The 16,364-nt window shown below is 39.6% G+C and overlaps 1 protein-coding gene across 4 annotated transcripts in view; it reads right to left on the bottom strand.

Moving 5' to 3' along the window:
- Positions 1-16,364, bottom strand: part of MTF2 (metal response element binding transcription factor 2) — a 59,794-nt gene that overhangs the window by 27,536 nt on the left and 15,894 nt on the right. For 2 of the 4 annotated variants that reach the window (NM_007358.4, NM_001164392.2), the window contains exons 2-3: positions 1,113-1,311; positions 915-996 (exon numbers count right to left, since the gene is read on the bottom strand). The exons of 1 other annotated variant lie outside the window; for it this stretch is intronic. In NM_007358.4, coding sequence (NP_031384.1) covers positions 915-996; positions 1,113-1,311 — 281 coding nt within the window. The remainder of the gene's footprint in view (positions 1-914; positions 997-1,112; positions 1,312-16,364) is intronic. One more of the 4 variants, NM_001164391.2, reaches the window with a different exon arrangement.

Genomic DNA, 16,364 nt, shown 5'->3' with positions numbered 1-16,364 from the left:
TTTTATTCTTTAAGAAACATTAAGAGTAAAGTCAAGAACTAAAACATGGCAGAAACCTACCATAAAATTGAACTTGGTATTCAAATATAAAACCCAATTGTTAAATACTTTGGCAAGGTGTCTACCCTTTAGGGAGAAAATTTATCTCTTTTCTATGAGAATACACAAAACACGGGTCTTAGTGTAGGCCTATTAACCCAGCAAAAGGAAAACCAAAAGTAGGGCTTTAATGAACAGCTAAAATACTCAGGCTTTTAGTAGAGATTGTAATTTTTAAAAGTACTTTGCATGAAAGAGGTACCTGGTAAAACATCTATATTTAGCAGATGCTAAAAGCATGAAACAATCATGGTTTCTAATAATAGAAATCATCACAAGAAGCATACCTATAACCAAACCAAGGCATACTTTCATTCATTTTTATTGGCACACAAATATAGCCTCATTTTCCCATTTAAACATAAAAAACCCATAACTAAATGGTAATTTTAAACCATTCTTATTAACGAATATTTCTATTATTCTAAATCAGTTTTATATGTCCTAATTTCCCAAATCATCTGACAAACAGTATGCTCCCAATAAACACTTGCTTTCTACAAATATAAGCAAGCAACAGTTGAATTGAATCCCAAACCGTTACTGAGATTAGTTACTAAAGATTTTTCTTCAAAGTTCTTAGAAGGGTCTTAACATAGCTTACAGGTATAAATTAGTGATGCATCTGTCCTCTAGAGTATTCTTGTTCTTCTTATGGTCTATAATAACGACTATGCTGATTTTTTAACCTCTCCTAGGAAGTAATACTGAGTTATCTAAATACACTGTATTCAACAGACAACATCATAATATGACAAGTTGAAGAAAATCAAATTTTAATTTAAATCATGTTCAAGAGAAATAGTAGCACCTGCCTGTTTGAATGTCCTTCCAGAGAACCCAGGATTTAGAACTGTCTTCAAATATGATGAAGCAGCTCTGTTTCAATATGTTTATCTGCAATACAGAGAAATACTTAACGGTGATCTCTTAAAATTAAAAACATGAAGTTAAATTTAAGATTATTAAATGCTTACTGCAAAAACAGCAAAAGATACATTAAAGTAACTTGCCTTTTTGATAGTGCCAAGATAAAACAAGCCATCTGACCATCTAGCTAGGACATCCTGACCCTCTTCAAATTTACATGCTGGCTTTTTGGCTTTATGTCCATCCTGTAAAGACAGCTTGGTCAAGGATGTTGGGGTCTTTTGGTTTCGACGTAAAGGAGACCGCTTGTGGACCAGTGAATTACCTGCCCCTGTAGAGTCTCTGTTTAGAGAATAAAAGACCATACATAAGACTTACTTGTAGAGCTTATTTTATACCAGTGGGATATTTTATATGTTAATCAAAGTTTTAAATTTGTTAAAAACCTTAAGACAAAAATATAAAAAGTACCTCAAATCATAAATACTCTCCAAACAAAGCAGTTTAAAACAAAATGATAACAATTCTCAATATCCATTCATTGCCTACTCTAAGTGAGGCCAAGACTCAGCAAACACTCCAAGATAACACATTCAAGGCAGCTGCCATCAAAATAACAGCTTTATGTTGAGGTATGCAGGCCATGATCATGAGCAAATAATGTCTTGAATCTCATGACTGGGTTTAGGTAAAGAATAAAAGTGAATTACATTTTAATCTCTTGATTATGCCACATGCAGTTAAGACACATTAACCAGTGACTTCAAGGGACAGCTGGTGTTATTCACACTCTTCACACTCAAAGGAAGGGCAGTCATGACCTTCTCCTTACAGGGAATCACCACTGAATTGAGCAAATATGCAGACTGAGAGTTTAAAAAAAAAAACATTGAGAACCAGCAATTTCATTACATTATAGACAAATAGTACACTATAAGGCCAGGTGCGGTGGCTCATGCCTGTAATCCCAGCTCTTTGGGAGGCTGAGGCGGGTGGATCACCTGAGGCCAGGAGTTCAAGACCAGCCTGGCCAACATGGTGAAACCCTGTGTCTACTAAAAAATACAAAGATTAGCCGGGCGTGGTGGTACACACCTGTGATGCCAGCTACTGGGGAGGCTGAGGCAGGAGAATCATTTGAACCCAGGAGGCGGAGGTTGCAGTGAGCTGAGATCATGCCACTGCACTCCAGCCTGGGCAACAGAGCAAGACTCTGTCTCAAAAAACAAAAAAACAAAAAAAAAGGAAAGTACACTATAAGAGTACTTAAAGGAAAAAAATATATATTAAATACTGTGAAATTACATTATAACTTATGTATCAGACATTCCATAAACAGCAAAGCATACCACCATCAGCTTTCTTAAAGGTAACAAAGCAGTGTTTGGTTTCACTTTTCCAAATTAGATTTTTCACTAATTAAACATACAGTGACATGTAAAACTAGATAATAATTCTAAAAACAGCATAAAAGTTTAGTAAAAATAAAATGAGCAGGGAAATTAAAGAAAAAAGTTTCAAAAAGTTCCTAAGTATTAGGAATATCTAACTTCAATATCTAAAAATACAGAAATTCTGGGAAACCCTGTCACATGCTCAAACACGGATGAACCTTGAAGACATTATGCTAAGTGAAATAAGCCAGACAAAATGGACAACTATTCCACTTATATGAGGTGCCTAGACACTCAAAGTCATAGAGATGGAAAACAGAATGGCGGCCAACGGCTAGGAAGAATGGGGAATAGGGAGTTAGTGTTTAATGGGTACGGAGTGTTTCAGTTTGAAAGAAATACATTTTAGAGATATCCAAAGAAATAACTGGTACCTTCCCAAATTTGCTGAAAAACATTATCTACACATCCAAGCAGCTCAACAAATTCCAAGTAGGATAAATGCAAAGAGATCTACACCCAGCCACATCATAGTAAAAATGCTGAAAGGCAAAAAAAAAAAAAAAAAAAATCTTGAAAGCAACAAGAGAAACACAATATATCACGTACAGGGAAACCCCAATAAGATTAACAGTTGACTTCTCATCAGAAACAATAAAGGCCAGAAGGCAGTGAGATGACATATTCAAAGTAAGCAGGCTGCAGGGAGTGGGTGCTGTCACCAGAGAATCTTATATCCAGCAAAACTGTCTTTCAAAAATGAAGGTGAAATACAAACTCCCAGATAAACAAAAACTGAATTTGTTATTAGCAGAGACATCTTACAATGAATACTACTACGATTGAAAGTAAGTAAACCCAGAAGGAAATTCAAATACATGTACATACACATACACACACACACACACAAAGAATACCAACAAAAGTAATTATAAAAGACAGCATAAATGCATATTCCCTCCAAAGCAAGTATATAAAACAATATGTACATAATTGTATTGTTAGACCCATAATATATAGAAATGTAATATATTTGGCAATAATAGCATAAAGGAAGTATGTAGGAGCAAAACTGTTTCAACTGTTTCAAAGAAATGACACAGGCCAGGTGCAGCATGGCTGACGCCTGTAATCCCAGCACTTTGGGAGGCTGAGGCAGGAGGACCCCGAATTCAAGAGTAGCCTGGGCAACAAAGGGAGAATGTCTCTAAAAAAATTAAAAAATAAAAATTAGCCGGGCATTGTGGCACGTGCCTGTGGTCCCAGCTACTCAGGAGTCTGGGGTGGGAGGACTATATGAGGCCAGGAGGTCGAGACTGCAGTGAGCTGTGATTGTGCCACTGCACTCCAGCCTGAGCAACAGAGAGAGAACCTGTCAAAAGAAAAGAAGAAAAGAAAAGAGAAAAATGGAAGGAAGGACAGACACAAGATGCTAACTTGAATTCACAAGAACAAACGAAAAAAAAAATGGTAATTAAGGTCAATATAAAACGTAGATTGTCACTTCAAGAAAATACCTGCCTTATACAGAACTAAGTGGCTGTTTCAAGTAAAAATGGTGTTCCATGAAAAAGCTGCTAGTTCAGCTGGCAACTCAAACAATGGCACAAGTGCCTTATGCCATTTCTATTTTATCACACATATTAAAAACCTGGCCAGCACGGTGGCTCATGCCTGTAATTCCAGCATTTTGGAAGGCCGAGGCAGGTGGATCATTTGAGGCCAGGAGTTCAAGACAAGCCTGGCCAACATAGCAAAACCCCCCATCTCTACTAAAAATACAAAATTAGCCAGGCATGGTGGCGCGTGCCTGTAATCCCAGCTACTCGGGAGGCTGAGGCAGGAGAACCGCTTGAACCTGGGAGGCGGACGTTGCAATGAGCCAAGATTACACCACTGCACTCCAGCCTAGGCAACAGAGCAAAACTACATCTCAAAAACAAACAAACAAACAAAAAACATTCTTAAGTGAAATAAGGTTTGGGGGTACGTGTGTGTGTTTATATTTTTTACCGTTAGTACACAATGAAGAATACAAGTACAGTTTGATGCCGCTGCCTTGATTCATGCTAAGGCACAAAGCAATTTTATCTAACATTGTTTTTTCTGTGCCATAGTCAGCTGTGAGGAGAAGGCACTTTTGGTAGTATAATTAGAGGGGTTAAAAAGTTTAAATGTTTGACAAGATCAGTGCAAGAGAACAGAAGTAAAAATGCAGGAAGAATCACAATGAATTATCATCAGGGATGCTCAAGGAGAGGGTAAGAATCCTCTTTCTCCAGATTTTGAAACAATTTAACGGCTTCACAGTATGGGAATAACTCTATTAGCAATCAACTTTGAAAAAAGCTTTAAGGGGCAGGATGCGGTGGCTCACGCCTGTAATCCCAACACTTTGGGAGGCCGAGGTGGGCAGATCACCTGAGGCTGGGAGTTCAAGACCAGCCTGACCAACATGGAGAAAAAACCCGTCTCTACTAAAAATACAAAATTAGCCTGGTGTGGTGGCGTATGCCTGTCATCCCAGCTACCTGGCAGGCTGAGGCAGGAAAATGTCTTGAACCCAGGAGGTGGAGGTTGCAGTGAGCTAAGATCGCACCATTGCACTCCAGCCTGGGCAACAAAAGCAAAAGTCTGTCTCAAAAAAAAAAAAAAAAGGCTTTAAGTTCAGTGTTCACTTGAGGGATTTTGCATCCCTTCAGTTAAAAAAAAAAAATAGCCAAAGCCTGAACAATTAATCAATCATGGGTGAAAAATGACCTCAGTAGAATGCCATGGCAGGTCTGCGTTAAGACCTAGAATTCCAAAGTAGAAACTGTACAAAAATAAAAATTGCAAACATTCCCAGTTTCATATGCTTTGCTATTATTTCAATAAATTATCCCCTTCTTTCAGGATGGCAAGGTCTGTCTCTGTCTTACTCTCCACTGTACTACTCCTGCTGCATAGCACATCCTTAGGTCATAAGGTATCAAACATTTTTTTATTTTTCCATCTCCTAGTGTTTATGCCCTGCTTCTCCTAATATTTCTGGTGTGCTGTGTCTCAAATGAGACCTAACCTAATTATAGTTACCCTTGATTCCTTATGCCCCCTTCCCACCACCTCCTCATTTTTTCCCTTCCATTCACAGTCAAACCTCCAGGAAAAAATTACTGAGATTACCAAGTCCCTAACCCTACATTAAACATTCAACACATTCATGGCCGGGCATGGTGGCTCACGCCTGTAATTCCAGCACTTTGGGAGAACGGGTCGGGCAGATCACGAGGTCAGGAGTTTGAGACCAGCCTGGTCAACATGGCCAAACCACGTCTCTACTTAAAATACAAAAATTAGCCGGGCGTGATGGCTGGCACCTGTAATCCCAGCTACTCAGGAGGCTGAGGCAGGAGAACTGCTTGAACCCGGGAGGTGGAGGTTGCAGTGAGCCGAGACCGCAGCATTGCACTCCAGCCTGGGTGAAAAGAGCAAGACTCTGGTCTCAAAAAAAAAACACACACACACACAAACAACATTCAACATATTCATTCACAAATCATTTTTGGGTCCCTATTATGAGCCACATACTGTGCCAGGCAGTAGATATATAGAGGTAATTTAATACTCAGATCACTGCTTTAGAGATATTTTTGCAGATGAGATTTTACAGATCCCTTTTTACATGAGGAAACTACAACTGCAAAACAGATTATAACTTGATGAAGTTTATTATAGGATACAAACCAGAGCCAGCATTCAATAAATCTTCTCTCTGGGCACCCTCCCATTAGCATTCAACTATGCTTAAAAACTTGCAAGGATCTTGGGGATGGGGGGTAGAATAACTAAATTCTCTTGATTCTTTGTGCTCCGTTCCCACCACTTCCTACTCTTTCCTCCCATTTGCAAGCAAACCTCGGGGTAAAGTTATACACGCTTAATGTCTCCACTCCTATAGTCTCCTCCCCTTTTCAGTCTTCGGCCCACTTCAATATAACCCACTAACCTCCCCCCAAACAGGGAATGTCTGTCTCTTTTTTTTTTTTTTTTTTGAGACGGAGTCTCGCTCTGTCACCCAGGCTGGAGTGCAGTGGCGCTATCTCGGCTCACTGCAAGCTCCGCCTCCCAGGTTCACGCCATTCTCCTGCCTCAGCCTCCCGAGTAGCTGGGACTACAGGCGCCCGCCACTACACCCGGCTAACTTTTTGTATTTTTAGTAGAGACGGGGTTTCACCTTGGTCTCGATCTCCTGACCTCGTGATCTGCCTGCCTCGGCCTCCCAAAGTGCTGGGATTACAGGCGTGAGCCACCGCGCCCGGCCGAGAATGTCTGTCTCTTATTCACACTTGTATCCTCAATCTCTGCATAGGGCATGATACATAAACGGCAGAAAGATTATGCAGAATTTATATAGTTCAAGTCAAGAAACGCCTATATTTAAGGAGTTAATTTTTTTATCTAACCAATATTTAAAGAGTTTAACTTTTCATCTTTATCTACTTTTTTTTTTTTTTTTTTGAGATGGAGTCTTGCTCTGTCACCAGGCTGGAGTACAGTGGCACGATCCCAGCTCACTGCAACCTCCACCTCCTGGGTTCAAGCAATTCTTGTGCCTCAGCCTCCCGGATAGCTGGGATTACAGGTGCATGCCACCACGCCCAGCTAATTTTTGTATTTTTAGTAGAGACAAGGTTTCACCATGTTGGCCAGAATGGTCTTGATCTCCTGACCTTGTGATCCACCCGCCTCGGCCTCCCAAAGTGCTGGGATTACAGGCCTGAGCCACAGCGCCCGGGGTACATTTTTAATCTAATGTCTCTAAGCACAAATCATCTGTTTTGCTTTAAGTAAAAAATAGACTCTACTTTCATTCACATTTAAGACAAATACACATCAACCTTTTACCCACATAAACATAAATCCTATATAAAACTGCATTAATAGAGAGATCATTTGTACCAGGCATGGTGGCTCACACCTGTAATCCTAGCACTTTGGGAGGCTGAGGCAGGAGGATCACTTGAGCCTAGGAATTTGAGACCAGCCTGGGCAACACAGTGAGACCTTGTCTCTACAAAAAAAAAAAAAAAAAAGCTGGGTGTAGTGGCATACGCCTGTGGTCTCAGCTACTCAGGAGGCTGAGGTGGGAGGATCACTTGAGCCCAGGAGGTAGAGGCTTCAGTGAGCCATGACTTCACCACTGCACTCCAGCCTAGACAACCTGTAACAAAAACCAAAAAATACATACATAAATAACGTGTAAAAGCAGTATCTTCTTTTAAAATTTCTCTGCCCAAAAAAATCTTACAGAAAACAAAGCAAGAAAAGAGTAAATTACCCATAATGTCACAACTCAAACGTAAGTAGGATAAACATCGTTGCACATTTTCCTCCCCTAAGGGTTTTCCTCTATGCAGTTTCCCCCACCCCATTACTATCACTGATTACTTCCCTCTTTGCTAGAATGTGACCTTTATTAGAAGTCAAATTAATTTTTCTAATTTTAGAATTTATTACTTCCTTTCTGATTACAAAGGTAAACATGCTGATGTTAGAATAATATAGAAACATATAGTTAAAAATGAAAATGCTCCATGCAATCTCCTCCCATAAAAAAAGTTAATCTCCTGATTCTTATTTGTACTACATATTTATAATTCATATAAATGTTTTTAATAAAATATAGGACATTATATATATTATTCTATAAATTTTCTCACATAACAATGTATCTTGAACAATGTAATTTCCATCTGTTACGTAAATATAAAATAAAAGCACATAAAATAATCTTTTCATCAGCTGCTAAACTGCTTTCCAACCATTACCCAATGGAGGAACATTTAGGATGTTTCCAATGTTTTAACATAAGCAGTAATATAAACTTCATTCTTCTACATTCCCAACTACTATATAGGATAAATAATAAAGAGAATTAATATATATATAATAAAATACTACGTATATTTTTCCTTTTTATAATAGAAAATTACAAACGTAGACAAAACAAGTATAATGAACCATCAAGTGACACCCAGTTTCAATTATAATTTCCTTTTTTTTTTTGAGCTAGTCTCACTGTGTCACCCAGGCTGAAGTGCAGTGGTGCGATCTTGGCTCACTGCAACCTCTGCCTCCCGGGTTCAAGCAATTCTCCTGCCTCAGCCTCCCAAGTAGCTGAGACTACAGGCGCCCACCACCATGCCCGGCTAATTTTTTTCATATTTTTGCAAAGACAGGGTTTCACTATGTTGGCCAGGCTGGTCTTGAACTCCTGACCTCGTGATTTGCCCGCCTCGGCCTTCCAAAGTGCTGGGATTACAGGCGTGAGCCACCGTGCCTGGCCCATAAAATTTCATGGCTAAAATTATTTCATTTATATACCCATATCCCCCCATCCTCATATGTGTATTTTTAAATATCATAGGTATTATCAAATTATTCTCCCAAAAGGTACCAACTCACACTCTCACCACACCTTCACCAACGGGAAGAATTATCATTCTTTTGCTGTTTGACAACACACACTCTATTTCTATCTACAACTCTATTAGTAGTAGTAAAAAAGCATGTTTCTCATAGGTTTGTTAACAATTTTTTTTTTGAGACAGGGTCTCTCTCTGTCACCCAGGCTGAAGTGCAGTGGTGCAATCATGGGTCACTGCAGCCTCAATCTCCCGGGCTCAAGGGATCCTCCCACTTCAGCCTCCCAAGCAGCTGGGACTACAGGCACACACCATGCCACCACGCCCACCTGATTTTTTAAAAATAATTTTTAGTAGGAATGGGAGCAGGTCTCAAACTCCTGAGCTCAAGTAATCCCTCCGCTTTGGCCTCCCAAAGTGCTGGGATTATAAGCATGAGCCACCACGCCCAGCCTATTAACAATTTCTAAGTCTTCTGGAAACTGCAGTTGATGTTCTTTGCCCATTTTTAAATGAAATGTTAATCACTGTCATGATAATTTTCAAGAGCATCTTATATGTTATAACCCTTTCTTATACATATTGCAAACATTCTTCTGAGTTCATATACTAAAGTGCCATGAGAAACAGACTTTTTGATTGGGGAATCAGTACTCCTTTTGGGTACTCAGTTGACTCTGGTCAGTAGCTACAAAGCTATATCCCTCATCTCACCTCATCTCAGATTCAAACTGCCTCTCCTGATTAAGCAGCCAGGGATTGAGGGGAGGGAGAAAGAGGTAGTTGTTATACAACGGGCATATAGTTTCAGTTTAACAAGGTAAAAAAGTGTTATGGAGACGGCTCAATGTATTTAATATCAGTGAACTGTACACTGAAAATTGGTTAAGACGGGCCAGGCATTGTGGCTCACACCTGTAACTTCAGCTCTTTGGGAGGCCAAGGCGGGAGGAGTGCTTGAGGCCAGGAGTTCAAGACCAGCCTAAGCAACACAAGATCCAGGCTCTACAAAATATTTCTTTGAAATCAGCCAGACATAGTGGGATGTGCCTATAGTCCCAGCTACTTAGGAAGCTGAGATGGGAGAATTGCGTGAGCCTGGGAGGTCGAGGCTGCAGTGAGCTGTGACTGCACCACTGCATTCCAGCCTGGGTAACAGGGAGACCCTGTCTCAAAAAAAAAAAAAAAAAAAAAAAAAAAAACCAGCCTGAGCAACATGGCAAGACCACATTCCTACAGAAAATTTTTAAAAAATTTGCCAAGTGTGATGGCACATAGCTGCAGGATCACTTGAGCTCAGGAGTTCGAGACTGCAGTGAGCTGGAATCACACCACTGCACTCCAGCCTGGGAAACAGAGTGAGACCTTATCTCCTTTTAAAAAAAAAAAAAAAAAAAAAAAAAAGGTTAAGATAGTAAATTTTGTTACATGTATTTTAACTCAATAAAAAGATTGGGAGAGAGGGCTCATAGTCACTACCACTGGATCACTGCTAGTCATATACATCTTGAAAGAGATTGCCTGGACAAATAAGTTTCTTCCCTTGAGACCAAGTGTTCAAGCCAGTAACTCTTTCTTGGTTTACTACCCCAGAATAAGTAAGACCCTGATTCAAGAAGTTGAAAACTGGATGTTTAATTCAGAAATAGTGTGGTTTAGGGAAAATGGATTAATTCTTCCCAATCCATTCCTCAATCTGTTCTCCTAGTGAACTAAATAAAGAACTATCTCAATTCTTAGTTGCCATCTTTCCCATGCCCACAATTTCTTCCCTTCCCTGGGAAAAGTAGTAAATATGTGGGTTAATAGCATGTGAAGGATATAATATAACCTAAGAAAAGTGCTATTTTTGGTGAAAACTTTCATACAGATATAGTCAAATTCATGAGGCCAAACAGGGCCAAAGTAAGGCCCAGGTATAAGGGAAGCAACAGGTAATCTGCTTAAGCTTGGCACTGCATTAAAGCTATGAAGAAGGAATTCTCTTTTATCTCTTGAGACAGGTATGTAAAATGAAGCCTGAGACTCGTTGCCTTCTTTCTGGTTAAGGTTTCCCTGAAAGTAGAATGTCAAAGAGAACCAGGGTTGAACCTAAAGGACAGAAAGCATAAAGCAAGCAGCTTAAAGGCCAGCTCTACTCCTTAGTTTTAGAAACAATACAAACAGCTGGGGGTGGTGGCTCACGGCTGTAATCCCAGCACTTTGGGAGGCCGAGGCGGGCAGATCATGAGGTCAGGAGAGCAAGACCATCTTGGCTAACACACAGTGAAACTCCGTCTCTACTAAAAATACTAAAAAATTAGCCAGGCATGGTGGCAGGTGCCTGTAGTCCCAGCTACTCAGGAGGCTGAGGCAGGAGAATGGCGTGAACCTGGGAGGCGGAGGTTGCAGTGAGCGGAGATCATGCCACTGCACTCCAGCCTGGGCGACAGAGTGAGACTCTGTCTCAAAAACAAACAAACAAACAAACAAACAAACATAATGCCACATATATGCTTTTTTATAAAAATAGCAAATAGTATAGAAAAAAATTAAGGTGAAAATCAATAGTTCCTCACTCCACCACTTCTAATATTCCAGTCTTACTCTCAGAGGCAAGTGGGTTTTTTTTAACTCTTTCAACTATGCCTTCTGAAGGTACCCTCGTATTTACAAATAATGTGTTTATACTTCTCTTTTTAAACTGATCAACTTCAAATCTGACTTCTTGCTATTGAAGTTGATAATTCACATCTTATGCCAACTCCTATTTCCTACCTCTCATCCTCTACAAATCTTATTGAACTATTTTCATTAAATCAGTAAGTTTTACTTATTGTACAATGTGTAAATATTGGTCATGCAAAGATAAGTGGTATGCCCTTATTAAATATCCTTTCTTATTCACTTTCAATTTTTCCCAAAATTGCTTAATATATCCCTTTGTTGCCTCCTGTTTCAAACTGTCAATGATAATTTCAAATCTTTTTTCCACATGTAACTCCTGCTTCTAAAGCTCTCCATGTTCCTGTGCCAATCTAGAATGACTATCCTCTAAGCCTTGCTCTTGTCATCTTGGAAGTTCCCCTTATCACTCTGCTTTCTAGATCCCATATTCTTTTGCTGGAGCAGTGGCTTACAACAGAAGGCTGTATAAACCTTGCATATCTATTTCAATCCCACCCTCACAATTGACCAATACTTTCCCAGATACAGAATTTAATGTTGAAAATATTGAATGTTGAAAACTTCCCTCGGAAGTTTGATACTATTCCTCTACCACACTCAGCATTCATAATGAAAAATCTGATGCCACTCTGACTTTTACTCCTTTATAGGTTACCATTTTTTCCTCAGAAAGTTTCTAGGATCTTCATTTATCCTTAATGTCTTAAAATTTCATAATGATGTGTCTAGGCATAAGGTCTTCTTTCAATCATACTGTCCAGCCCTTGGTAAATCCTTTCATTTGTTTTTCTGTTTATTTTAGACTCTCCTTTGATGCAGCAGGCTTTCCTCAGCTATTTAGTGGCCCTTAGTTGTCCAGTGACAGTTAAGATTGAGGTTATATAAATCCACATGGGATCTCTTCACACATGATGCAGGATTTGTAGAGAGTTCAGCTTTGCCTTAGTGTGATCAGGTAGGGAGGCAACGCTTAGACTGATAAACTCTGCCAAAATATGGAGGTCTTTTTCAGGACCTTATCAATGTAAAAACCCTCTCTACATTCTTTACCTGAGCGGCTGGACAACTGGGTATAGGTGGGTAGTGTCCATCTGTTTACAATATAGACAAACATCCCCCTCTCACCATCTGTAAATGTCATCCTCTCATCCCTCACCTTGCTGAAACCCATGGTCAGGGGTTGCTACTAGTGGCTCAGAATCAGCAGATACCCTAGTTTTACAACTGGGCAACACTGAGAAGAAACACATTCATTGGAGAACAAAGTCAAAATTCTGAAACCATTACAGTAGGTATTAAGTATCATAAATACTACAAATAAACTATATTACAAATTACAGACCAACTGACTTGGAATCCCAATTCCTATTTGTAATGGTTCATATGCAAAAATTCAGCCTTCTTATAAACAACCAACATATATACATTTGTCTCCTAACCTACTGACAACTTATATTTGAAAACTGGTATCTCAGAGTATACTTTAATTAAACAGAACATTTTAACCAACCAAAACATCCATACCCCAATCATTTTATAATAAAAGTCCAATGAGAGTTAAGGAAAACATGATTATTGTATTTAAACTCAATGGCTCTGGTCATTCAACAAATATACAATGCCTGCTATATGCCAGGTACCATGCCAGGTGTTAAGAGAGACAAATGTGGAAAGATACAGTACATACCACCAAGGAACATAGCCTTTGTAGAGAAACACGTGTGCACACCAAAAAAACTATATGCAGTGTAATTCCTATAATGAATAAACACAAGAAGAAAAATATCTAATCTGTCCAGAAGCAAAAGGCAGGGACAGACAAAACTTCATCAAGACTTAGCTTTTAACTACAGACTTAAAGGATGAGTAGTAGTTTCAGAGATGAACCTTAGAGAGGACTTCATAAGCCTAGGGAACATATGTAAAGGCACAAAGTCATGAGACAACACACACTTTTCTAGGAACAAAACTGCAGTATAACTGCAGCTCAAATTAGAGAGAAAGTGGCATAAATAACACTAAACAAACAAAAAAAGACCAAGCTATAAGAGTAGAGACATTGCCTCTTTGTCTTATTTACTCTTATATATCCCCTGTACCTGGCACACATCGATTCTCAATACTGGCTGAATAAACAAACACTATGCAAAAGAGAGAAAAAGATGGGAACCCAAATAAATCTGCAATAATCTATTAATAAAAAAAGGCCCAGGCATGGTGGCTCATGCCTGTAATCCCAGCACTGTGGGAGGCTGAGGCGGGCAGATCATTTAAGGTCAGGAGCTCGCGACCAGCCCGGCCAACAAGGTGAAACCCCGTCTCTACTAAAAATACAAAAAATAACTGAGCATGGTGGCATGCACCTGTAACCCCAGCTACTCAGGAGGCTGAGGCGCGAGAACTGCTCGAACCCGGGAGGTGGAGGTTGCAGTGAGCTGAGATCGCACCGCTACACTCCTGCCTGGGCGACAGAGTGAGACTCCATCTCAAAAAAAAAGAAAGGAAAAACCTGAAATCAGGCCACGAAGAAATTGGAATTTTAAAACATCCCTGGATACTAGGGTTTTAAGTAACCTAGTTTTCATACTTTATATTTTCCAAGTTTTTTAAAATAATCATGGCATCACTCTTATAACAATAAATAATTTAAAAGTAAAACAGACAGACATTAAGAATTAACTTTATGTGGTATTGAGAGCAAAGGAGAAATTCAGAACAACTCCCAAGTTTTTAACTTGGGAAACTGGGAAGATGGTATGGGGGAAATTAGAAGGAAAGTAGTAACAAGTTTAAATTATCTCTTTCATCCAAGAAAGGATGTCTGCTAGGCAAAATATTTACAAAAACTGACCATATACTGATCTATAAAGCAAGTCTCAACAAATTTTAAGCTATAAAATCATACAGCATATATTTCATGACTACAATGCCGTAAGACTCCAAAATCAATAAAAAGGTAACTTAAAAGTTTGGAAATCAAGACATATACTTTTAGGCCAGGCGCAGTGGCTCAGGCCTGTAATCCCAGCACCTTGGGAGGCCAAGGTGGGCAGATCATTTGAGCTCAGGAGTTTGAGACCAGCCTAGGCAACATGGTAAAACCGCATCTCTACAAAAAATTAAAAATTAGCCAGGCATGGTGGTGCATGTCTGCAGGCCCGACTACTCAGGAGGCTGAGGCAGGAGGATCAGTTGAGCCCAGGAGATTAAGGCTGCAGTGAGCCATGATCACACCACTGCACTCTAGCCTGGGAAGCTGAACTAGACCCTGTCTCCAAAAAAAAAAAAAAAAAAAGAAAAAGAAAAAAAGAAAATATACACTTTTAAATAATCCATGGGCCAAAGAAGAAATCATAACAGAAATAAGTATTTGAAGTTGAACAACAAAAAGCACATATTAAAAACTTGTGGGATGCAGCTAAAGCAGTAGTTGGAGAGATACGTCTCGAAATACATATAATAGAAAAGAAAAAAAAAGTTAATGAATTGAGTAGCTATCTCATGTTGAAGGAAGAAAAAAGAAAATAAGCCCCCAAAAAGTAGAAAAATAAAAGAACAGAAATTAACACAGAAAAAAAAAAGCATATGACAGAACAAATGGCACCAAAAGCTGGTCCTCTGAAAAAACTAATAAAATTGGAAAACATTTGGGAAATATTATTCATGACGTCTAGGAAGCAGCTGGCTATTAAGATCCACAGCTCAGAAAATCTGGTTTGGAAGTGAAGACTTGGAAGTTGTAACATATTAATAATACGTATTTGGGGCCCTGGATAGAAATGAGAAGTGAAAATGAGAAGAGTAGGACTTTGCTGTATTAAGATAGGAGAGTAAAGATTTATTTGTTCCTTTTCATGACAAAACAAAGAGAAAAGAAAAAATTAAAACACACTCCATCTTCAACAATACATGATGTTCCACGTTCATGTTACATGTGAAATTCTAAATCACAATATATGAAGATGGAAGGCAGATGGAAGAATGAACACTTGTAAAATAAGGAAGAAAATTAAACATAAGTGTCAGCTGAAAGAACAATGAGGAATGAGAAGCAAATCCTTTGCTCTACAGAACCTCAAAAGACTAAAGAACTGTTGACACAAGACTCAAAAGACAGAGGTCAAGTGGGAGCATTAAGAATGGAGAAATAGACCGGGTGCAGGGGCTCACGCCTGCAATCCCAGCACTTTGGGAGGTCAAGGTGGGCGGATCACAAGGTCAGGAGTTTGAGACCAGCCTGACCAATATGGTGAAACCCCATCTCTACTAAAAATACAAGAATTAGCTGGGTGTGGTGGCATGCACCTGTAGTCCCAGCTATTCAGGAGGCTGAGGCAGAAGAATCGTTTAAACTTGGGAGGTGGAGGTTGCACTGAGCTGAGATCACACCACTGCACTCCAGCCTGGGTGACAGAGCGAGACTCCATCTCAAAAAAAAAAAAAAAAAAGAACAGAGAAATAGCCAGGCAGGGTGGCTCACGCCTGCAATCCCAGTCAGTACTTTGGGAGGCCAATGTGGGCGGATCACTGAGGTCAGGAGTTCGAGACCATCCTGGCCAACATGGTGAAATCCCGTCTCTACTAAAAATACAAAAATCAGCTGGATGTAGTGGCGGACTCCTGTAATGCCAGCTACCTGGGAGGCTGAGGCAGGAGAATCGCTTGAACCCAGGAGGCGGAGGTTGCAGTGAGCCAAGATTGCACCATTGCACTCCAGCTTCGGCGACAAGAGCTAAACTCCATCTCAAAAATAAAATAAAATAAAAAGAATGAAGAAATATGTAGAAGTTGGTATAAAAGGACACTTGGAAGCCAGGTGAGGATCACTTGAGGCAAGAAGTTCGCAACCAGCCTGGTCAATATAAGGAGACCCCACCACTACAAAAAAAATTTTTTTAATTACTCAGGCATGGTGGCATGTGCCTGT

This window comes from Homo sapiens, chromosome 1 (genome assembly GCF_000001405.40).
Source record: "Homo sapiens chromosome 1, GRCh38.p14 Primary Assembly".
Lineage (NCBI taxonomy): Eukaryota > Metazoa > Chordata > Mammalia > Primates > Hominidae > Homo > Homo sapiens.
Note: the sequence above shows the minus strand (reverse complement) of the source record. Positions and strands in the feature narration are given on the sequence as shown.